Source organism: Homo sapiens, chromosome 16 (assembly GCF_000001405.40).
Source record: "Homo sapiens chromosome 16, GRCh38.p14 Primary Assembly".
Taxonomy (NCBI): Eukaryota; Metazoa; Chordata; class Mammalia; order Primates; family Hominidae; genus Homo; species Homo sapiens.
The window spans coordinates 29,117,874-29,140,346 of NC_000016.10; the positions used below are offsets into that span (position 1 = coordinate 29,117,874).

The window sequence follows — 22,473 nt, forward strand, 5'->3', positions numbered from 1 at the left end:
AGCCCCCAGCTGGTGATGGAATATTACAGAATGGTGAGCAGTTCCTAATGAACTTTCACATAAAGCAAAGTATAATTTTTTCTAGACTTATGTAATAGTTGAATTCATGGAAAATTCAAGTCATAGTAAGACCGTGCAAAAATGTTTTGTGTGTAAACGTTGAATAGAGTAAGATTCTGAGTTCAGAGAGTTAGAAGCATGTTTTCCACTCATGAAGTTCTGGTTCATTGTAAGTTTTGTATGTGGAGAGTTTTTGTTGGGTGAGACTGTCTCGCTCATTGAAGGACGTCTCAACCTCCCTTGCCTCTGCCTGCCAAATTCCAGTACTCTCTGAATCTTGACCACCAAAGATGTCCCACGGGATCTCAAAGCACCCCTGGGCACCTGCATTGAGAACCACTGTTCTAAGGAATTAAACACAAGGATGAACGAACCTCTCCTGCCCCCGGAACCTTGTGTGCTGGTGGACGGCTGCCCATCACGTGTCACTTGTCACTTGTCACGTTGTGCCAGTGCTGGGCAGGTCATTGTCACCACTTGGGAAAAGTGTTGACAAAATTGGTCGTTAGATTCCACCACTGACAATGTGCGATGGGGAGAGAAGTTCCTCTGTGAAGAACTCCAAAGGCTGAGTGTGGTTTCTGTCGTGGGTTGGCCTTGAGGGTGCCTTGCTTGGATTCCATCTGCACAGGGCGGAGCTTGGGCCTCTGGCTGTCACAGTTGCCCTGACAGACACTGAGGTGACCTTGGCCAAGTCACGCATTCATTTCCATCTGAGTTTCTAGTTTAAGATAAGAGGAAGAGGACCTGGAGCTCCTCTGGGGCTGCTTCGGCCCAGGGTCCTCCTGCTTTCTGAGGGTAACAGTGTCTGTGCCCATGAAAACGTGATGTTAGTCACAGACCTGCCGTGGCAGAAATCCCCCATGCTTCCCTCTGCTGGGGGCAGGTGTTATCATTCACAGCCCTGCGGTGGTTGTCTGTCTGCTTGTCAACAAGCAGTGAAATAAGAGTAAAGTTGCCTAATACTGACTCAGATGCACAATCCAGTTAACCCAGATGTGTGAGATCTTCCGGTTTGAAAGAACTGTATTGGCAAGGCAAAATCAACCTATTGTAGAATATATTTATTGTATATCAGCATGGGGATTATTAATATTGCTAATAAAACCATTATTTGTAAAAATTAAGATTAATAGAAGAATCGTTCTATTTTCTCATAGTTTTAAATAGGATAAAAATATATTCTATTCAAAATCCTATTTAAAATATATCCTATTCAAAATTAAAAGAAAATGTAAGAATGGTTTCCTTTTTTTTGAGACTCTGCTCTGCCACCCAGGCTGGAGTGCAGTGGCGCAATCTTGGCTCACTGCAGCCTCTGCCTCCCAGGCTCAAGCAATTCTCCTGCCTCATCCTCCCGAGTAGCTGGGATTACAGGCATGCACCACGCCGCCCAGCTAATTTTTGTAATTTTAGAAGAGACAGGGTTTTGCCACATTAGCCAGGCTGGTCTTGAACTCTTTACCTTAGGTGATCTGCCTGCCTCGGCCTCCCAGAGTGCTGGGATTAAAGGCGTGAGCCACCACGCCTAGTGGAGTGATTTCCTTTCATAGTAAAGTTTTAAATATGGCATATTTGAATGACTTTTAAAGAAGGAGACTGGGTGTGATGGCTCACACCTATAATTCCAGCATTTTGGAAGGCCAAGATGGAAGGATCACTTGAACCCAAGAGTTCCAGACCAGCATGGGCAACATAGTGAGACCCCCATCTCTACAAAAAAATTTAAAAAATTAGCTGGGCACAGTAGAACCTGCCTATAATCCCTTAGGGGGCTGAGGTGGGAGGATTGCTTGAGCCTGGGAAGGTGAGACTATGGTGAGCTGTGACTCTGCCACTGCACTCCCGGCTGAATGAGACCCTAACTCAAAAAAAAAAAAAAAAAAAAAAAAAAGGATGTTATTAAGTCTGGCATTTCTTTCCATGTAAGTTCTTTTTAAAAGGCAGTCTCACTCTGTCATGCAGGCTGGAGTACAGTGGTGCAGTCTCGGCTCACTGCAACCTCTGCCTCCCGGATTCAAGCGATTCTCCCACCTCAGCCTCCCGAGTAGATGGAACTATAGGTGCACGCTACTATGCTTGGCTAATTTTTGTATTTTTTAATAGAGATGAGGTTTTGCCATGTTGGACAGGCTGGTATCTTTCCATATAAGTCCTGAAAATTAGAAATAAAAATTGCCAACAGTTGAAAGCTGTTGACAGAAAATTGTAGGGGAGAAATAACAGATAAGAACATAATCCCAGTATGTCAATGAAAAAAAGTATGTTTAAATTAGAAAGTTACTAATTTGTGAACACATATGAGTGAATCAGAATTGTCTGTCTAAAATTGGGCAGTGGAACATTGAAAAGGAAAAGTCTCCAAAGTTAAAAATTGGTTAGCATTCCGAATAATAAAGTGCTTCTATGGATTATTTATTTTGGGACTCAGATATTTTGAGATGGAGTCTCGCTCTGTCACCCAGGCTGGAGTGCAATGGCATGATCTTGGCTCACTGCAACCTCTGCCTCCCAGGTTCTAGTGATTCTCCTGCCTCAGCCTCCTGAGTAGCTGGGATTATGGGTGCAGGCCACCACGCCTGGCTAATTTTTTTTTTTTAATTAGAGATGGGGTTTCACCATGTTGGTCAGTCTGATCTCAAACTCCTGACCTCATGATCCACCCGCCTCAGCCTCCCAAAGTGCTGGGATACAGGTGTGAGCCACCGCCCCCAGCCGGGACTCAAATATTTTAAATGAAGATTAGAAGTATGTAAGTCACAGATAGTATTACATCCAAATCGTATGCTGTTAAAATAGCCCGGGGTTCCCAGGGCTCACTCCTTGCTGTGAGGGATTAGCTGGGAAGTCCGAGTGTAATCTTACAGCACAGATGCAGACACCTTAAGGGGCTCTGAGTTGTGACGAGGCCCCTGGAGAGAGTGCGAGAAGCTGCCCCCTGCGGTGTCACTCGCCCTTCTGTTTAGCGCGGCTGCATCTGCTCAGAGCCAGCCCAACCCTCAAGGGCGGGCACAGCCTTGCAGCAGCAGGGGCGTCACTAAGGCCCCCTCTCTGTGTGTTGAAATCCACCCCACCTGTTGGTTATTTCTCATTAAAACTGACTGTTCTGTACTATCAGTGCTGAGAGCTGATTATTCTTTCCTTTCACTCTCTGGAACACAAGAAGGCAGTGGAGTACTGCTTGCCTCACTTGGCATTTTGGATCCAAATTTTTGGGTTCTACACCTGAATGAGATTCTTTAAATAACTTCGAGAACAAAGAAAAGAAAAAGAAAGCCCCTTTTATTTGAAGCTAAAGTTGAATCATTGTAATAAAAATGCGAGTCACCTGGATGGGCCCCATCCAACAGTCATCATCGACTTGGGGACAAGAAAAATGGTCTTTTAAGTTTTGTAGGTAGGGGCGTATTTTCTTCCTGCAGGTGCGCCATCAGTTTGGATTTTGCTTCATTGTAGTTTTGGTGTAGTGACCTGAGGTTTTAACTTTAAAGATGTTTGGGCCTGTCCTTTGAATGCTAGTGTGGACAGTTCAGTTGGGGCATTCGTTATGTCACATGGCCTGCAGGGATCCAGGGCACGCACATGCTCACGTTTATACAGGTAAATGTTAACATCCTTTGTCTATACTTCGAAGCTGGACAGAGATAGTGGTGTAAACAGGATGCAGCAGAGCATGGAGTGTTGCCCGTCAGGGGATGCAGGCCCACATGGCTGCGCACATCCAAGACACAGGACACAGGGCGGGTGACAGGGGATGCAGGCCCACGTGGCTGCGCACATCCAGGACACAGGGCGGGCGACAGGGGATGCAGGCCCACGTGGCTGCGCACATCCAGGACACAGGGCGGGCGACAGGGGATGCAGGCCCGCGTGGCTGTGCACATCCAGGACACAGGGCGGGCGAGGGGATGCAGGCCTGTGTGGCTGCGCACATCCAGGACACAGGGCAGGTGACAGGGCTCTGTGTCCCCAGCACACCTGTGGAGTTGGCTACTGGGCAGCTCAGACAGCAGCTCACAGCCCAGGATTTTCTGCTTTGTTTTCATTAACTGAACATACTGACTGACTCGAAAAATTATTTTTAAAAATAAAAAGCTAATTTTATTTTAGTTTATTTTAATTAAAAAATAGATTTTAAAATCTGCTTTTTAAAGTCATAGATGTTTATCTTTAAGAACATTAAACAATTAAAGAACTAGCATGTTTCTACAATTTTACAACAATTATAAACCATAGGCTTCTGTATAAGACTAGTTCTGGAAATTTTTAAAAATGTGATTTCTTTTAAAGTATGTCTTCCAGAGATGTGTCATGTAAGACCCAATGAAGGAGAAATTTTTCTTTTCCTCAGAACTGACTGTTGACCCATGGATAATTGAAATATTTGATTAAGGAATGATTTTAATTCTCTCTAGTATGCTGTCTGCTGATTCTCTGTTTTATTTCCTAGAGTGTCTTTTATTTTATTTCCTAGAGGGTCCTTTATTTTTCCTAGAGGGTCTTTTATCTATTTTATTGATAGATATTTGTGGAAAGGCTGTTGTGGTGTTATGTAGAGCTAGGCCTCATTCTGAGCATCTCTGTTCTGGCACGGGAGCATGAGAGGTCTTGGCCAGGGTAAACCAGTTTTTTCAGTTGTGGGTCATTGACATTCTCAGTCAAAATTATAGCATTTCATAGGCTTTAGAATCTGACAAACTCAAGGGAGAGCTGCGTGAATTGTGAAGAAATGGTTTGGTCTCAGCTAAGATGGTTTTGTTTAATTCTTTTCTTATTTAATATTGAATTTTGGTTGCTTTCGTTTAATTTCGTGTACATGTAATTTCTCTTCCTGACTGGTCTATACTGCCTTGCACAGCTGCATACTTTTGTTTTGTTTTTTGAGACAGAGTCTCGCTCTGTCGTCCAGGCTGGAGTGCAGTGGCGCGATCTCGGCTCACTGCAACCTCCGCCTCCCGGGTTCACACCATTCTCCTGCTTCAGCCTCCTAACTAGCTGGGACTACAGGCGCCCGCCACCATGCCCGGCTAATTTTTTGTATTTTTAGTAGAGACAGGGTTTCACCGTGTTAGCCAGGATGGTCTCGATCTCCTGACCTTGTGATCCGCCTGCCTCGGCCTCCCAAAGTATTGGGATTACAGGCGTGAGCCACTGCGCCCAGCCAGCTGCATACTTTGAGTGACCTAATAGTGACACCCTCTACATGCTAGGGCTGAGTACTAGCCAAAGAAAACATACAGTTTACATACCTGCAACTTCGGGAATTATTCACATAATCGTATGATACAGTTTACATACCTACAACTTCGGGAATTAGTCACATAATTGTATGATACAGTTTACATACATACAACTTTGGGAATTATTAACATAATCATATGCTTTAGAGATACAATCTAATAACCAAACTAATGAGAAACATACATTTAAATGTTGTAATGATTATGCACATTCTAATAATTTGGAGCACTTCTCTAGTTTTAGAATAACTCAGAACTCATTGATTGGCATTGTATTGAGTCTGTAGATCAATTTGGGGGAATTGCCAAGTTAACAGTATTGAGTATTCTGATTCATGAACATGGTATGTCTCTCCATTTATGGAGGTCTTTAATTTCTTTTAGCAGTGTTATACAGTTTTCAGTGTTCAGCTCCTGTGCATATTTTGTTACATTTATCTCTGAGTACTTCATACTTACAGATGCTATCGTATTCATACTTATGGATACTATCATAAATGGTATTGTATTTTAAATTTCAGTATCCAGTTGTTCATTGGAAGGATGTAGCAGTACAATAGATTTTTCTTTACTGACCTTTATCCTGTGTCATTTCTAAATGAACTTGTTTTAGATTTTCTGTAGGATTTTTTAAAAATATGCATAATTATGTTACCTTTAAATAGAGTTTTGTTTCTTCCTGTAGAATTTCTATACCTTCTCTTACTTTAATGTGCTGGCCATGATCTTTATTTCAGTGTATTTTCTTTATAAAAATATTTTTGCCTTATTCCTCATCTTTGAGTGAAAGCGTCCAGCATTTCACCATTAAGTCTGATGTTACCAGTACATTTTTCCCAGATGCTCTTAATCAGGTTGAAGAAGTTTCCTTCTATTCTTTGTTTCATGGGAGTTTTTTCGCATGAATGAATGGACATTGGATTTTCACATGCCTTTTCTGTATCTTCCGAGATGATGGTATTGTGATCCTTCTTGATTCTTTTGTTAAAGTGAATTACGTCGATTTCGAATGCTAACCGAACCTTGCATTTCTATTATCATAAACCTGACTTCATCTACGTGTATTGTGCTTTTGCTATACTGATCAGTTTTCTAATATTTAATGAAGAGTTTTTGCGTCTGTGTTTGTGTGACATGTTAGTCTGCAGTTTTCTTTTTTTGCCATGTCTTTTTGTTATCAGGATAATGCTGACCTCAGCAACGGAGCTGGGAAGCTGCCTGTCATTGTCTAGTTTCTGAAAATGTTTCTGTGAGATTAGTTTTATTTCTTTTAAACAATTTGATAGAATTTGCCAGTGAAGCCTAGGTTTTTAATAATAAATTCAATTATTTTAATAAATATAGAACTGCCAGGCATGGTGGCTCATGCCTATAATCCCAGCACTTTGAGAGGCTGAGGAGGGTGGATCACCTGAAGTCAGGAGTTCGTTACCAGCCTGGCTAATGAGGCAAAACCCCGTCTCCACTAAAAATACAAAAATTAGCTGGGTGTGGTAGCGGGTGCCTCTAGTCTCAGCTACTCAGGAGGTTGGGGCAGGAGAATCACTTGAACCCAGGAGGTGGAGGTTGCAGTGAGCTGAGATTGTGCCACTGCACTCCAGCCTGGGAGACAGAATGAGACTCCCCCCCAAAAAAAAAAAAAAAAAAAGAACTTCGATAAATGTAGAATTTCTTGAGTTAGTGTTGTTTGTGTCTCTCAAGATTATTTTCTTTTCCCCCAAATTCTAGAGTGTGTCCGCACACTGTTCCTCATGGTACCCACTGTATGTTTCCATGTCTGTGGGTCCACAGGATGCTCCGCGGCCAAGCCTCCCTGGGCTCCTCTGATCTGTGGCCGTTTCTCATGCTTCCTTGTTTTTGGCGACTTTTTGAGGACCGTTGGGGTCGGTTATTTTGTAGGATGTGCCTCTGTTGGAATTTGTCTCCTGACTAGACTGGGGTCACAGGTTTTGGGGAGGGAGGACATGGAGGTGAAGTCCTTCTCATCACATCCTGTCCAGGCCAGCACTGTCAGGAGGACTCAGTGCTTAATGCTGATGCAGGTCACCTGGCTGAGGTGTGCTCTTCAGCATTTTCCACAGTCAAGTGACTCTTTCAGCTTTCATCCTGCACTTTGGAAGGAAGCTGCTATGCCCATCACCCAGTTAAGGAGTGGGGAGTTGTGTGCCGCCTCTTCGAGGGTGGAGCATCACAGATACTGTTGTCAGTCTACCCGGGAGCCTTGTTTCTTCTTTCCCATTTATTCACTTATTCACTCATCCGTTTCCATCAGTGTGTGCTCATGGAGATGTATTTTACACTCTGGGTTAGAATCAAGTTCTGCTTCATTCTGGTGCTCACATCCTTCCAGCTTTGGCCATTGGCAGCTCGTCAGTTGGCTCCCGTGCCCCTTGACATTTCCTCCATTCCCTCTTCATTGTAGGTGTTTCATCATTAGTGTTTTTTTTTTTTTCTTGTTTTCTTTTGAGACAGAGTTTTGCTCTTGTTGCCCAGGCTGGAGTGCAATGGGGCGATCTCTTACTGTAACCTCCACCTCCTGGGTTCAAGCAATTCTTCTGCCTCAACCTCCCAAGTAGCTGGGATTACAGGCCGTGCCACCACACCCGGCTAATTTTTTGTATTTATATTAGAGACGGGGTTTCACCATGTTGACCAGGCTGGTCTCGAACTCCTGACCTCAGGTGATCCGCCTGCCTTGGCCTCCCAAAGTGCTGGGATTACAGATGTGAACCACCATGCCCAGCCTGAGCACTTTTTACTTGCACAGCACTACCAAATGCTTCTCCGGGCTCATTGTGAGTACTTGTCCCAGCCTAGAATCAGCCGTTTCTCCGTGAATTGAAAAATGACGTTAGAGACCAGGATGCGGTGTTTGGAGGGCCCTGGCGTTAGAGACCAGGATGCGGTGTTTGGAGGGCCCTGGCATTAGAGACCAGGATGTGGTGTTAGAGACCAGGATGCGGTGTTTGGAGGGCCCTGGTGTTAAGAGACCAGGATGCGGTGCACGGCGGTGCGCTGCGTCCTCTGAGCATGCGAAGGGCCCTGGGCGGCTTTTCACCCAAACATGTTGCCTAGGAGCCCTGCATCCTGTGCTGTTGCAGAGTGCTGACTTCTGTGGAGTCAGTCCTGACACTGCTTCCCTCTCTCACTGGTAGTCATTTCTGTAGCTTCTAGGAAAGAGGAAGAAAACACACCCGTCTTTGACCTGCTCGCCCTCTGATTTGGGACTGTTGGGTGGAAGTCACAGATCTCTGTCGGAGCACAAGCGTGGCTCCTTGGGGAGAGCAGCGTAAGGAGTTAGATCTGGAGCCTCTCAAAGCCAATTGCCAGAAGCTAGAAGCTTCTTTCTTTCTTTAGCAACGAGGTTTTAAAGTTTGTTACATTAGGTTAGTCCTGTTTCTCTGGTGCAGTGGTTATTTGGAGAGTTGGTTTTATTTTCAGTTTTGCTTATTTCATTAGATTATTAGGAAGAAAATTTTAATGCCAATTTATTTTTACCCCTGGGTATTTTTTGTTAGATCATGTTTTTATAACTTTTTAATCTTTAGCGTGGTACAGTGGCTTAGGCCTGTAATCCCAGCAACTCGGGAGACTGAGGTGACCCAAGTCACGTGTGAGGAATGTCACGCCCAGCAACCTCAGGGAACACGCTTTTCTCCAAATTGCCACCCACTAGACTGTGAAGCCACCTCAATGCCACAGGATGGGGGCTTGCAGAATGTGTTTTGTGACCAAATGGAATTAAGGCAAAAATTAATGAGAAGAAAAGTAGAAAAATCCCTGAATGATTGGGAGTTAAATAACAAACATTTAAATAACCCCTAGGTCAGATAAGAAAGAAAACTGGACATGTGAAGGTATTTGTAACTGAATGACACATGCAAATTGATCAAAACTCGGGGAATACATCGACAGTTGTATTAGAGAAAAGCTTAAAGACAAGGAAAAATTAAGGAAATGAGGCACAAAACGTAGAGTAGATACAACCAACAAAACCAAATTGGATTCTTTGAGAAGATTAGTACACTTGAGAAAGCCCTGGTACACTAGTCAGAGAAAAGAGAGCAGGGACAAATTACAATGTCAGAATCTACGAACCCTTCAGACATAAAAACTTGAGGCTGTCTCAAAAGTCAGTGGGAAACGTTAAATGCAATTGACAAATTACTAGGAAAAAACTGCTATCAGAAGAAATAGAACATGTTACTAGCTCCTGTCTTTCAGAAATCTTACCTATATCTTGTCACAAAGAAAAACTGCCACCACACCCGGCTAATTTTTTTGTATTTTTAGTAGAGATGGCCTCAGCCTTCTGTACAGTCTCTGGGGCTGTACAGAAACCTGTTTCCTGCAGGGACATACATTTAACGTCTGTGAAAGCCTCAGACCCCCTGAGCACACCTGCCTAGCCGTGTTGTGGACGAACAAGGGCTGATGAAATGCCTGTGGAGGCTGATTTCACCGGAGTCAGGGGAAGTCGGTCTAAGCAAAGAGCAGGGGCAGGGATGAAAATAACAGAACAGTGATCCAGGTAGCAACCGTGTGCCGGGGAGGCTGGGCCAAGCATTTATAGAAACTGCCCAAAGAACAGCGCAGGGAGGGCATTTCGGCCCATTTTACAGACCAGGAAAACGGGCGGAGAGGCTGAGTGACTGCCCGAGGCGACACACAGCTCTCCCGCCCTGTTCGCTTATGCACAGTCTTGGCCATGCAGTGAAGGGAGTTCCCAGCAGTGTCCCCCGCCCACTCCCATCCTATTGCCCAGCTGAGCCCCTCCCTTGGCTCTCCCACCCATGGGCCCGATGGCCGCAGCTGGGATCCACCGGACACTGCAGTCCCCCAGGCTTCGGGTCTTTGCCTCCTTAGTCACCTGTGAAGCACCTCCTATGCGCCAGCTCTGCCCGTCTAGGGAGAAGCAGCACAGCCCGGCCACCCGAGGCCTCCTGTGCGCTTCCCCATCTGAGGTCCGTGATCAGAACTGCGGGCTTCTCCGCAGAGGTCGGGGCAGTGACAGGACAGCCGCGGGCTTCTCCTCAGAGGTCGGGGCAGTGACAGGACAGCCTCAGCCTCTTTAGACGCTGCCTTCAGGGAGCAGTGAAAGAGGGAGGGAGAGACAGAGAGCACCCGGGCGGGTCTCCCAGCCACGCCAGGCAGGTGGGCAGGATTTATGTGCCAGGTACTGTGCTGGCTATCACCGGGGCCTGGTGGTCTCTTGGAGTCACAAGCAGCCGCCTGAGATGAGGTTTATGATTTTGAGTTAGAATAGGACTGAAGCTTATTCCCAGGGGGCTGGCCGGGCCGGCTCTCCCTGCCCGCCGGCATCTCCACTGCCTCTGCTGTCCTGAAGCTCTTATGAGGGTTCACATTACTAGGACGCCAATGTGGGTTCTCCTCTGGGCTCTGGCCCCAAGGCACCCCAACCTCAGACATGTCACTGTCTGGGCCTACTACAAATGGAGACTGCAGTTCTATGATGGGAAAATCTCTACACCATCGGTCATTTGGGCTATAGAAGAAAAAGAAATTATTTTCAGCTGCAGCTTCGTTTTTGGAATCTTGGCAAAAAAGTTAACAGTGGAGGGGGAAGGAGGCTGGGCACCCTGCCACGAGGCTGGTTCTTGTGGTCCTGGGCACCATCCGGTCACTTTAAAGAAGCAGGTGTCCCCGATGGTACACACGTGCCTTGTCAGGGTGCACTGTCGGCCACCTGCTCGCGGTTGGGACACACATGAGGGCTATGAGGACCCGGGGGTGGTGGCCAAGTGACTCCACAGTGGCCCAGTTGCGGTCTCTTCACTTGCTGGATGGTGGCTCAGCCTGACAGGTTTCACAGGTATCCACGGGTCTGAGTCCAGAGCTGCCCCACACAGATGGCCCCTCCCCAGGTCCTGCATCAGCCATCGAGAGGTTCCTGCCCAGACCTCAGGTGACCCCAGCTCCGGTCACTTCTGCCTAAAGGCAAATGAGCTTTTCCTAAAGTCCAAACCCAGTGGTCCCCACAAATCTGAGCAAAGCTGGAAACCCTTGTTCGTTCTGTGGTGCACAGGGCGGGCAACTCTGCGGCTGAAATTGCTGTTTTCAGCTACTGTCAGCTGAGCCTTGCCTGGAGCCTGAAACCGCATTGAGGGCTTTCTGTGCTTTGCCTCCCAGAATCCTGGCTGTGGCCTCATGAAACAGGTGCCGTTAAAATCAGTTGCATTGGAAACAGCCGAGTCAGGCAATGAAGGCACAGAGAGGTTAGACAACTTGTGGAAAATCACGCAGCACCGGTGCCTCCACATTCACACTCCGCCCCTCCGTGTCCTGCAATCCTGACCAGCCCCATGTTCCCCAGGACAAGCTGCCAGCATCCCGGAAGGGGTTAATCCCCCTCTGGTGGCTCAGCTCCTGCCACTCTCCCGAGTGCTTTTGCACATGGTCTGGCCTCAATGTGCCCAGGACGGCCCTGTGCTGGGGAGGAAAGCGCTTACATAATCCTCCCCGAGTGTTTTCTCTCTCAGGCGGCGTGCACATCCCACTTGGGTTGCAACACAGGCAAGCAGATGCCAGGAAATTCTGAGGCTGCTGCTGAGCCTGGGCTGGGTGAGGCTCAGACCCGAGACCCCCTCACCTGTGTGGGCCCTTGGCTTCCTCTGTGCCCCTCCCGATCGGGGTCCCTGGCGCAGACTCTTGTTCAGACCGTGCAAGGTAGATGCGTGGTCAGGAGCCCACGGCTCAGGACAGAAGCCATTTGGGGAACCAGTGGGACCTCCAGCGGCTTGGAGGAGGCTGAGTGGGAAGCACGTTCCTACCCAGGCTGAGCACTTCACACAGGGGGCTGGGCCAGGGGGAGAGCTGCCTGCCCCAGAGACCCCTACCTGCCTTCCTGTGCTGGCACAGCCATGCCCAGCCTCCGCTGGACAGCTTGGACTGAGGTTTCCTTGTGGTGGCCCCTCCCCAGAGTGTCTACCGGGGGCACAGGCCCTGGCAGCATGCACGTCACCCGGGGGGCTTTTAACAGAGACCAGCAACCCTCCCACAGAGGACTGGCGTGGGGGAGGCAGGCACTACCCAGCCAATCCGGGTGGACAGGCATTTTCCACAGCTCGGGAAACGGAGCCGGGCCAGGAAGGTTGGAGCTCAGCTCTTGGGTGAGAGCCACGGAGCCCTGGCTGAGCCTCACCTGCGCTCGGAGCCCATTTCCTTTTCTGTCAAATTCACGATGGGATCTGGCCCCTGACTCCACCCCAGCAGCACCAAAGACACCGCCCTGCGCTCATTACATTTCCTCCCAGCCCGCGGGGGGTCAGGGGGGGTGGGGGTGAGGGTGGGCGCAGGCACTGCCTGGCAGGGGAGTGAAAGGAAGGGCAGCGCCCGCCCAGGCCTGGGCCCCTCCCCAGCACGTCTCCTCCCCAACCTGCTGCCGCAGAGGGTGGACACCCGGCAGGGCCTGGCGAGGGGCGGCAGGGCGGGTTGTGTGCCTGGGGCTGGGGGATGAGTGTTGGGGTCTGCTGGCGCTGACAGTGGGGTGAGGACTGTGTCCCCTGGATTCCCTCCACCCCCGGGCCCTCTTGCCTGGCGGGGAGAGCCAGGAGACTGAGCATTCTCCGTGTCCTGAGGCTCTTCTTGAAACGGTCCCCAGGATCCTGTGAGCAGGAGCCGCGCAAGGCCTGGATCAGCCTTGATCTCGTCTTGAACTCCCTGACTTCTTGCACAGGAAGGTGCTGGGCACCAAGTCCTCACTGCGGGTGAAGGACCCAGAGGAGAGGAGTGAGCCGAGGCTGCCTGCCCATGGCCAGGGGGTCTGAGTTGGGGCACGTTTCCCATTTGGTGGCCTCAGACCCTGCTGGCTGCCAACCCTTGGAATAAGCAACAGGGCACCTTGGACCCAAGAGCCTGGTGGCCATGAGCCCATCTGAATGCCCGGAACTCACCTTGGACCCAACGGCCTGGTGGCCACGAGCCCATCTGAATGCCCGGAGCTGGGGAGCTGGGACCAAGTAGTGGGAACTGTGCTTGCCTCCCGGCCAGGCCGCCTGTCATGGGAAATGGGCCACCGGAGCCCCTGCCCAGCAGTTGGCTGCCCCCCAGGGCTGCTCCGGCCAAGCTTCTCCAGAGGTCACGCACTCCACCACATCCTCCCACCCCACTGGGGCCAGCCCTGCTGGAGGAGGGGGTGCCCCCACAGAGTCTGCCCCCGCCGCTGCAGGCGAGGACCTCCGGGTGTGACCACACAGGGCCCGGGCTCCCATCCAGGCCGAGTGGGCGCAGGGCACGGCTTCTCCATGGAGTCCCAGGCTCTCTGCCTCCAGGGGCCAGGCATGCCTGAATGAGGGCCTCATCCTGGAGGACGGGGAGGGGTGCAGGAGGCGGCTCAGGAATCCCTCAGGGCGCCCCAGGCCAGGCTGATCACAGCAGAGCGGCCTTAGCAAAGCTTCCAGCTTACTCCAGCCTTTGCCGCACGTCTGCAATGGGGACTTTTCAAAGCTGATCTCGGTGCAGTGGGCGTAGCTGATTCCGGCCCCGGGCTGCGGAGCCAGGAAGGAAAGCCTGCGTCTGCTTTTTGATGGAGTTTAGCACGAGTGCTGCAGATGGCAATGCTGTGCCGCCATGAATTAAGTGGGTTTCATCCCAGTGCTGCTCTCTCCAGCCAGGGCCAGGCTCCTAGAGGGGCTCACAGGGCTCCCAAGCTGGACTCCCTGCCCCAGCCCCTTCCTCTTCCCCGGCTCTCAGCAGAGCGGGGCTGTCATTTCACCAAGCAGCCATGGGGGTGGGGGCCAGAGCCTTGTGGGCTCATGGGTGTGGGGGGAGTGAGGTGGGTCCCTGCCCGTGGGGGAATGTGGGGGCCCAGCGGTGCTGGAACAGGAGTGATTCTGCCCCCAAGCAGGAAACACAAATCAATATCTGAATGTTTGGGGTTGTTGCAACTGGGGAGGGGGCGATACTGGCAATTTGGGGGTGTAAGTCAGAGGGAGGAGGGAGGGAGGGAGAAAGAAGGGAGAGAGGGAGGATGGAGGGAGGGAGGAAGGAGGAGAAGAAGGTGCCCAAGCCCCCATTCCCCAGGAGAAGTAGTGCCCAGGACTATGGTGCCCTTTGCAGGGCCGACCTCCCATCTCCATGGCGTCACTCTCTTTCCTTCTCGGGGACTTGGGGTGACCATGAGCCATACTATCGAAGTACTTACTGTGGAAAGTGGAAGAGCTGAGGAGGGCGCCCGACAGGATCCCCCAGGACACCCTGGCCCATTCGGCACCATTCGAATGCATGAGATCGCAGGCCCTGTGCAGGTGCCCGGGGCATGAGGGGCCTGCCCGTCCTGCAGGGTGCTGCTCAGATGCCTCGACCCTGGGAGGCCCCTCCTGGCCATTCTTGCAGGCCTGTCCCAGCCTGTGCCTTCTGCTGGGGCAGGGCCTCAGGCAGCAGTGGACAGTGGCCAGGAGGGCGCTGCTCAGGTTGGGAGAGGCCCGTGGGGGATCAGCCTCCCCGGATCCCGGGGTGGGGCCAAGTTACACACAGAGATAATGCAGACTCAGGCAGTGCGCAGGCAAGGCCGGAGTGCCGAGTATGGTACAGGAAACGCAGTGTGCGCAGCTGGGCTGCACCGTGGTCCACACAGCCAGGCTCTTTGGTGTGTTTCCTGCACACAAGGACATTCACAAGCCCTCAGCATCGTCAGAATCAGGGAATGGACAGGTCCCTGCAAGGCCCCACTGCAGCCTGACCACTGTCCCCACGAGTTTCTGAGAGCAGAGTCTGATGGTGTCACGCCCTTCCCCAAGCCGCCGTCTCTCCTCCATCTCTGTCAGCCTGTGCAGGCTCCTGGCCCCTCCGTGCTGTGGGCACTCGGACTGCTTTGCCTTTGGATTCCTGGTGATGAGATCCTGGGTGGGCGGGGACAGCAGGGGGTGAGGCTGCGCTTCTGCAGGTGTCCTGGCGGCAGGTGTAAAATCTCACCCTGGGCGGTCTCTGGTGACGTGAACGCTGACGGTTTAATTGATGCCGTGTCTGCAGCCTCCCCTGCAACGCTGTCCTTTCTCTCTATTATGATTAATCCGTGTTCTGTGGGGCGTCCTTTAAAGCCATGGGGACATCCACGCGCACCAGGCTTCCAGCTGCTTGTCTGAGCCTGAGCTGTGGGGCCGCTTGTGCCCCAGGCCATCTCCTGGCACTGTCAGCTCCCACCACCCCCCCCCCCCCCACCCTCCACATCAAGCAGGCTCCTGAGTGCTCAGACATGGCCTCGTAGCCCTGGAGGGTCGTGATCTCCTACAAGCCTCTGGTGTTTTCCGTGCCCAGGCTGGAGCTGGCCAATTCTCCCAGGAGTCCTGGCCACTTTGAATGGAACACGGTACTGAGAAGCCGAGGTCTGGGTGCTCGGGATGCTCATGCCCATGGAGGCCGGGACGTCAAGGGGCTTCCAACTCCAGCCTCTCATGGGATGGTAGAGCGGCCTGGGCAGGGGCGGAGCTGAGAACAGAATTTCACCCCCGAGGTTCTCGGACTGGAGCTCCAGAGGAGCCGCTGCCCAGGGGCACTTATCGTGTCCTTCATGAAAACAGAAAGTTGAAAACCCCAGATGTCTAACAATGAGTGAATGATTTGGCGAGCTGTGGCTCGGGGTCTGCCACGAATTCTTGGCTCCTGGACTGTGGACTGGGGGCGGACACCAACAGGAACTCTTAGAGGGAAGCTGGAGGAGGTGGGGGAGACAGAGCTTTGGAAAAAGAGCTTCGACTTCTCTCTTGGGTGGAGGAGACAAGGGGAGGGCACGCAGCCAGGGACCACGGGCCGCAATGCTCCCTCCTTCCCAGGGTCCACAGGCGGCAATGCTCCCTCCTTCCCAGGGTCCACGGGCGGCAATGCTCCCTCTTTGTCAGGGTCCACGGGCGGCTGGTGCTTTTTCCTTCCCGGCGTCCACAGGCAGCAATGCTCCTTCCTTCTCAGGGTCCAAAGGCAGCATCACTCCCTCCTTCCTGGCATCCAGGGCGGTCGGTGCTCCCTGCTTTCCAGGGTTCCAGGGGAAGTCCCACCCCCTGAATCTTGGGAGTTGGGGAAGAGGTGGGACCCTCAAGGACAGGCTGTAGCCCTCATACCCAGCCACCCCTAAGGGAGCATAGCTGCTCCACACAGCGGAATTCTCCGCGCACAGACAGCGCAGCCCTGACGCCTCCAGACACCCCTTCTTGCCGATGCCCTTTTCTAGCTTGATCTTGATGGTTCCTAGAGCCTGGGGGTCAAGTGTTCCCTGGCTCGCTTCCTGTAACATCAACTGGAACTTTTCATTGTGGTCTAAAAATAATCCCAGCACTTTGGGAGGCCAAGGCAGGAGGATCGCTTGAGGTCAGAAGTTCGAGTCCAGCCCGGGCCACGTAGCAAAACCTCACCTCTACTAAAAAAAAAAAAAAAAAAAAAAAAATTCAGCTGTGTGTGGTGGCTTATGCCTGGAGTCCTCGGAAAGCTAAGGCAGGAGGATCACTTGAGCCCAGGAAGTGGACACTGCAGTAAGCTACCGATAGCAACATTGCACTCCAGCCTGGTGGACAGAGCAGACTCTGTCTCCATCATCATCATCTCTCAAGCATCAGTAAGACCTTATTCTATAATGATGATGGTCACACAACTCTGAATAGACTAAAGACTAGTGAATTGTGCACTTCACATAGGTGAAATGTATAGTATGTTAATTATATCCAAGAAAGCTGTTTATTTCTAAAGGGATTTATCATTCTAATAACAAAAATAAATGATAATAGTGTGACTCTTTGGCACTTTCATTTTTTTTTTTTTCTGTTTGCTCCTTTGATCATCCAGCACATGGGTGGGAGAAGGCTGGGTTTCACTATCATCTCTGCCTTGTCAATGGATGAAGCCCAAACCCCAGGTGGGAAGTGCTGGGGTGGAGACTTCAATCCAGGGACTCTGCCCAGGGCCTGTCCCATGTTTTCATGTCAGCCGGCCTTTCGTCATCTTAGCCTGATCAGTCCTGTCTAAACTGGTCATTCTTGGGTTGAATCATTGGAATCCCTTTGGCCCTGTCACCAAATCCCCCTCTGGGACAATGCTGAGACAGCTCTGTGGCCTCCAAGATGAACCCACTGACCCACGCCTCCTGGGGTTTATCATCTTCCTACATTGACTCAGGGCTGATGCGTGTGGCCTGTGGAACATGGCAGAGCTGATGGTGTGTAACTTCCATGACTGAGCTGTACAAGGCACCACAGCTTCTGTCTTGGTCTCTCAGGCCATCCACTCCGAGGGGAGCCAGCCCCCATGCTGTGATATTCAAGTGGCCTCACGGCAGGGTCCATTTGGAGAGAACTGAGTTCTGGCCAGCAGCACCACTGGCCAGTGTGTGATGGAGTGACCTAGGAGTGACCTGGGAAGGCCAGCCCCAGTCAGGCCTTCAAATGAGACTGCAACTCCAGCTGATGCAAGACTACAGCTTCAGGAGACTTTCAGGCAAGAATGCTTAGTCAAACCCCTCCAGAAATAGGGGCTCTTATTCTATCAGCAAGACCATGGCCTGCAGTAATGTGGAAAGTGGCCCAATGAGCTGAATGATCAAGCTAGCAAGCTTTGTAAGGAGGGCACTGAGGGTGGCATATCTTGTACCTTATTTTATTTATTTATTTATTTTAAATAGTAATATTATAAAATAGAGATGGGGTTTTGCCATGTTGCCCAGGCTGGTCTCAAACTTCTAGGTTCAAGCAATCCACCTGCCTCAGCCTCCCAAAGTGTTGGGATTACAGGCATAAGCCACTACACCTGGCCTCTTGCTACTTTTAAATAAAATAAGAGAGGGAAGAGATAAACTAAAGGAAGGGCTGCTAAATATGAAAGAGATGCTTTCTGTCTGAAAACACTTTTTCTCATTCCCGGCCCCTCAAGGTGGCACACAAAGCTGAGAATAGGAAACCCAGGGATGCAGGTCATTTAGGGAACAGGACAGGTGATGGTGGCAAGCCTCCCAGATGGCTCCAGTGACCCCCCCCAACTCCTGTATTTGTCTGTGTGTGCTCCCCTCCCACACAGCAGGGCTGGTCTGTGTGGTCAGCATAGAGTACGGTTGTGGGCAACATGTGACTTCCCCTTGAGGCTGGATTATAATGGCATGGCAGCCTCCACTTAGCCTGTTGGCTCACTCACTCTAGAAGAAGCTGGCCACCATGCTGTGAGGACATCAGGCAGGCCCTGGAGAGTAACTGCGGCCCTCAGCCAATAGCCAGCACCAGCCCACCCGCCTCGTGAGGGAGCCACCAGCCCCAGTCTAGCTTTCAGGTGATGCACCCCAAGCTGACATAAGACCACATGAGAGACCCTGAGGAAAACCACCCTGCTGAACACTTCCCACTTTCCTGGCTAACAGTCTGTGAGAGATAAAAAGTGATTTTTGCTCTTTAAGCCATTAAGTTTTGGGTGTGTAGCAACACAGCAACAGATATAAAATATAGCAGCATGTAAAAGACCTGCATAGAATTCCTATGGAAGTGGGGATGCACCATGGATTTGGACCAGGGACAGACAATATCATCTGTTTTTCCTCCCTGAAACCCTTCTTAATGATCCTGGAGTCAGGGCACTCCTATCAGAATCAATGACCTGCTTTGGGTTTTAATTCTAACCAGCACTGGCATGTCCCCTCCAACATGCGAGGTATGAGAAGGACTTGCTTTTGGTTACTTAAACATGCCAGGCCATCTGACACCCTCACTAATGACAACCACTTTGCAATCTCACTGATTCTCACTTGGGTGGCCAGTGTTTGACCAGTGACTCTTCTAAAAAGTTGGACATGCCGTTACCCAGGGGTGTGCTCCGTGTCTGCCCCGTGGAGGAAGTACTTTGTTCAAAATGCTTAATCAGTCCTAGCACCAAACCAGGGTGTCAGCCTTGGCTGAGCCCTGGAGACACCTGGGAGCTCTGAACATGCAGCTGCCCACCCCACCCCACCCCGGGAGTCCCTGGGAGCTGGAGGAGGCCGGAAGGGGCCTCCCCGGGGCCCTCAGAGGGTGCACAGCCCTGGAACAACTGGCTCTCAGACTTGGCCTCCAGCGAGGGAGAGGGTGAATTTCTGTCACATGGAGCCCCTGGTTTGTGGCACTTTGCTGCAGCAGCCCCAGCACACGGATGTAAAGTGGGGCTGGCATCAGCCCCACAGCCCTTTGTTCCTGCTTCATGGCCCCCAGGAGAGACACCCTGAGCTCCCACTCTCCCACACACACTCGAGGCTGAAAACGCAGGATTTTTATGCCCAGACCTGCTGTTTCTTTCAGTTGTAACCTTTATCTTATGAAAACATTTCTGACCTGCTCGAAGGTAGAAGGGCAGGACTCATCGCTTCTGCCTCCTCTTTCTGCCCAAGGATAGAGAGAATAAAAGCCAGCCACGTGGTCCCTACAGGAGGACGCCATGTGGTCACTGCTGTCACCAAGAGACTGCACAGGCTCCAGCTACGCATGGGCGCCCTGAGTGTTAACTGGGCTCAGCCATGTCCTCACTTTGATGGTGACACACAGAGGCATCTGCCTGTTAAGCAGGTGGTCCCCTGGGGTCCCCTGAGAGCACAGCCAGGGAACTGGATGCCCACATTTCCTCACTCTCCTCCCATCTTCCCTCCCTCATCTTCCTCCATGCGCTTGAGTGCTTGCTCTGAAATCCAACCTTTAGTGACAATAAAGGAATGAAAAAGAATTCCCTCCACTTAAAGTGGACAGCAAGCCCCTCAATTCCTCTAGGACCCTCTGTCCTTGGTGTCATGGCAGAGCAGGTGGGTCTGCGGAGACGGGGGGCCCATGGGTGGCTGTCCGGGGCTGGAGGGGATGGGCAGTCATTGGGTGGCCTTTGGGGATGATGAAAACGCTTTGGAAGTAAACAGAGGGCATAGTACAGCATGCGCCTCATGCCACCTATCGTGTCATACTTTAAAACGTTAATTTTATGTGCAGTGAGTTTCACCTCAATTTAAAAAACAGGAAGAGAAGTACCAGAGGATGAGAATTGTTTACTCCCTGTGTGCTCTGTGCATGTGAGATGAATGTCACACTCCACACACACTTGCAGACTCCCAGCCGGGTGCCGTTCCTGCCCTTCTGGGGTTGATGACCTGTACAAAGCCCCCAAAAGAATGGGATGGTGTCCCGACAGCCTGGGGCTTCGAGGGGGGAGGGCATCGCCCGGGTGGACCCTGCCCCACCCACATGTTCTCGAGGTCAGACCCCTCATTGAGGGGTGGCCGAGGGTACACCAACTGGCAGGCTGGGTCTCTGTGTTCCGAACACAGCGCTGGGGCCCTTTCTAGAAGCTTCCTGGAAGCGAGAGTCAGTTTTTGTGTAGGCGCGGGGAACACAGGCCGGAGGCCCCGTAAGGACGGGCACATCTCCCTCCCGTTGCCTCACTGGCCGCACCTGCTTCAGGGGAGCAAAGGGGGCTGCTGGGGTGCTCGGGCTGTGGGAGGTGCCCATCAGAAGGTGAGTGTGAAAACAGCAGTGTGTGTGGAAGCAATGGAAGGGGGGTCTGGGGAAAATGAGGGGGCGGTCAGGACGGGCTTCTGAAACAGTTTTTAAATGTCTGTTTTCTGATTATAAAGGCAATGTATGCTCATTGTAGCAAACTTCAAAAATACAGGAAAGTAGAAAGTGGGAAAAGGTGCTGCGAATCTGCCGTCCAGACCTAACTGAGAAGGCATGGCGTGTTGCTGCCTTCAGGGCATGTGCCAATGGCTCCTCCTGGGCCCACGCCTCCTCCTGCACCCACCCTCACATCTCCCCATCCGGCATGAAGCCTCTCAGTAGCTATTTATGGGCTAAATTTTGGCCATGATTAAATTCCTGTAACTCGGCTTCCCTGGAAGCTCATAAGAGCCCAGGACGCCTTAAGTGGATGGAACGGCGACTCGGGGCTCAGGGGAAGGCAGGCAGAATCACTGAGGCACCTGCACTCCGCCTGGCAGTAGCCTGCCTCAGTGGCAGCAGCTCAGTTTTGGGTGCTGTTTATCTCCTACGAACGAGGAAACCAGGGCTCTGAAAGCACCAAGGCTGGCTAAGGGTCCCCACAGGGAATTGAGGAGTGGGCTGGAATTCCCCCCCAACCAGTGCCCCCTTGCTGAGCCTGGAGTGGGGTCTGAGTGTTAAACTCTCCAGGGGAACCCCCACCAAGGGTGACCCCCCACAGAGACCGGAGGGCTGGACATCCCGAATTCCTTGGAGCAGGTGCACCCCTCTGCTGCCTAGGAGGAAAAAAGCCCAGTGGGTTAGGAAACACCCGCTCACCCTTGCAAAGCCGCAGCAGCATCCAGGGTCTTGGCCGCTCGTTCTAGTTTATGGCGAAAGCCAGGTGGAGCCAGGAACAGACTCTGTGCTTCTGAGGCAGCCGGACACAGCTCTTGACGCAGAAGGTTGATTTTGTTTGGATCTCTCTTGACCAGACAAGGTAGGGTTAAGTGTGTGAAGGGGGAGAAGGGAATGCAGACCTCCTGGAACTTGAAACTTCCCAGCCCAGAGCCAGCCAGTGCGTGGAGACGCAGCCCCAACGTGCTGCTGCTGCTGCGGACACCTGGGGCGTGGAGCCAGGGCACGGGGCAGCTGTCCCTCTGCAGCCACACACCACAGGGGATGGGCACCAGCAGACACGCCTGCTCGCTCCAGGGTAAGTGCAGTGTGTGGCGTCTGGGGTGGCTCTGGTGTTAAGGAGGTCAGAAGTGAAGTGTTTTCACGCAGGCTGGATTCGATGCGATTGGGCCATCCGGATTGACGATGGTGACGATCGCGATGCCTTCAGGCTCGCAACCGAGAGGGTGCACGCAGGGGAACGTGCCATCTGGGAACGTCTTTCAGGCAAAACAAAGCATTTTGCTTTCCAGTTGATAATAGGGAGTGCTGAACCCAATGCCAAGAGCTCAAAGGCGAATTCGTTTGGTGGGAAGAGTCCGCCTGCATCTTTGATCTGATGTGGTTAGGGGCGTCCTCCCCAATTAACGATTTCTATTAGCTGCTGGCTTTGTCTTCTCTCCTTTTTGTGGCACGCTCCAGGTGACCGGCTTATCTCTCAGCGCCCAGGTTGGGATATGCCGTGGACAGACTCAATTAGCTAAACATGTTGTTAAACGTGCAGCTCATTACGCTTTTTTTTTTTTTTAAGAAAAAGAAAAACAAAGTGTGGAGGCAGAAGGCCCGGGTGCCCCGGCCACCCAGGG

At 51.4% G+C, this 22,473-nt stretch overlaps 1 protein-coding gene and 1 pseudogene across 1 annotated transcript, besides 2 other annotated features; both read right to left on the reverse strand.

Annotated features, from left to right (window-relative positions):
- Positions 1-9,196: 9,196 nt before the first annotated feature.
- On the reverse strand, positions 9,197-14,783 carry LOC124903671 (uncharacterized). The gene is made up of 3 exons (XM_047435010.1): positions 14,464-14,783; positions 13,214-13,315; positions 9,197-13,021 (listed from the first exon to the last, which is right to left on the reverse strand). Exons 1-3 carry the CDS (start codon positions 14,543-14,545, stop codon positions 12,459-12,461), a joined length of 747 nt encoding a protein of 248 aa, XP_047290966.1. The 5' UTR covers positions 14,546-14,783; the 3' UTR covers positions 9,197-12,458.
- LOC100129184 (uncharacterized) lies at positions 11,684-12,375 on the reverse strand (annotated as a pseudogene).
- Positions 11,969-12,757: an enhancer, noted in NCBI's record as "H3K4me1 hESC enhancer chr16:29141163-29141951 (GRCh37/hg19 assembly coordinates)". NCBI's record gives its function as "activates a minimal SCP1, AML or CMV promoter by ChIP-STARR-seq in naive H9 embryonic stem cells {active_cell/tissue: H9 hESC(naive)}" and the evidence as "EXISTENCE:reporter gene assay evidence [ECO:0000049][PMID:30033119]".
- Positions 16,131-16,631: an enhancer, noted in NCBI's record as "H3K4me1 hESC enhancer chr16:29145325-29145825 (GRCh37/hg19 assembly coordinates)". NCBI's record gives its function as "activates a minimal SCP1, AML or CMV promoter by ChIP-STARR-seq in primed H9 embryonic stem cells {active_cell/tissue: H9 hESC(primed)}" and the evidence as "EXISTENCE:reporter gene assay evidence [ECO:0000049][PMID:30033119]".

What these genes read in the sequence shown, in the direction of transcription:
- LOC124903671 (XM_047435010.1), bottom strand. Translation starts at nt 14,545, where the DNA reads ATGCATTCGAATGGTGCCGAATGGGCCAGGGTGTCCTGGGGGATCCTG. An exon ending in CAGCTCTTCCACTTTCCACA is followed by an intron (nt 13,316 to 14,463) that starts GTAAGTACTTCG and finishes TTCCCATGACAG; the next exon opens with GCGGCCTGGCCGGGAGGCAA. An exon ending in ACCAGGCCGTTGGGTCCAAG is followed by an intron (nt 13,022 to 13,213) that starts GTGAGTTCCGGG and finishes CTTCACCCGCAG; the next exon opens with TGAGGACTTGGTGCCCAGCA.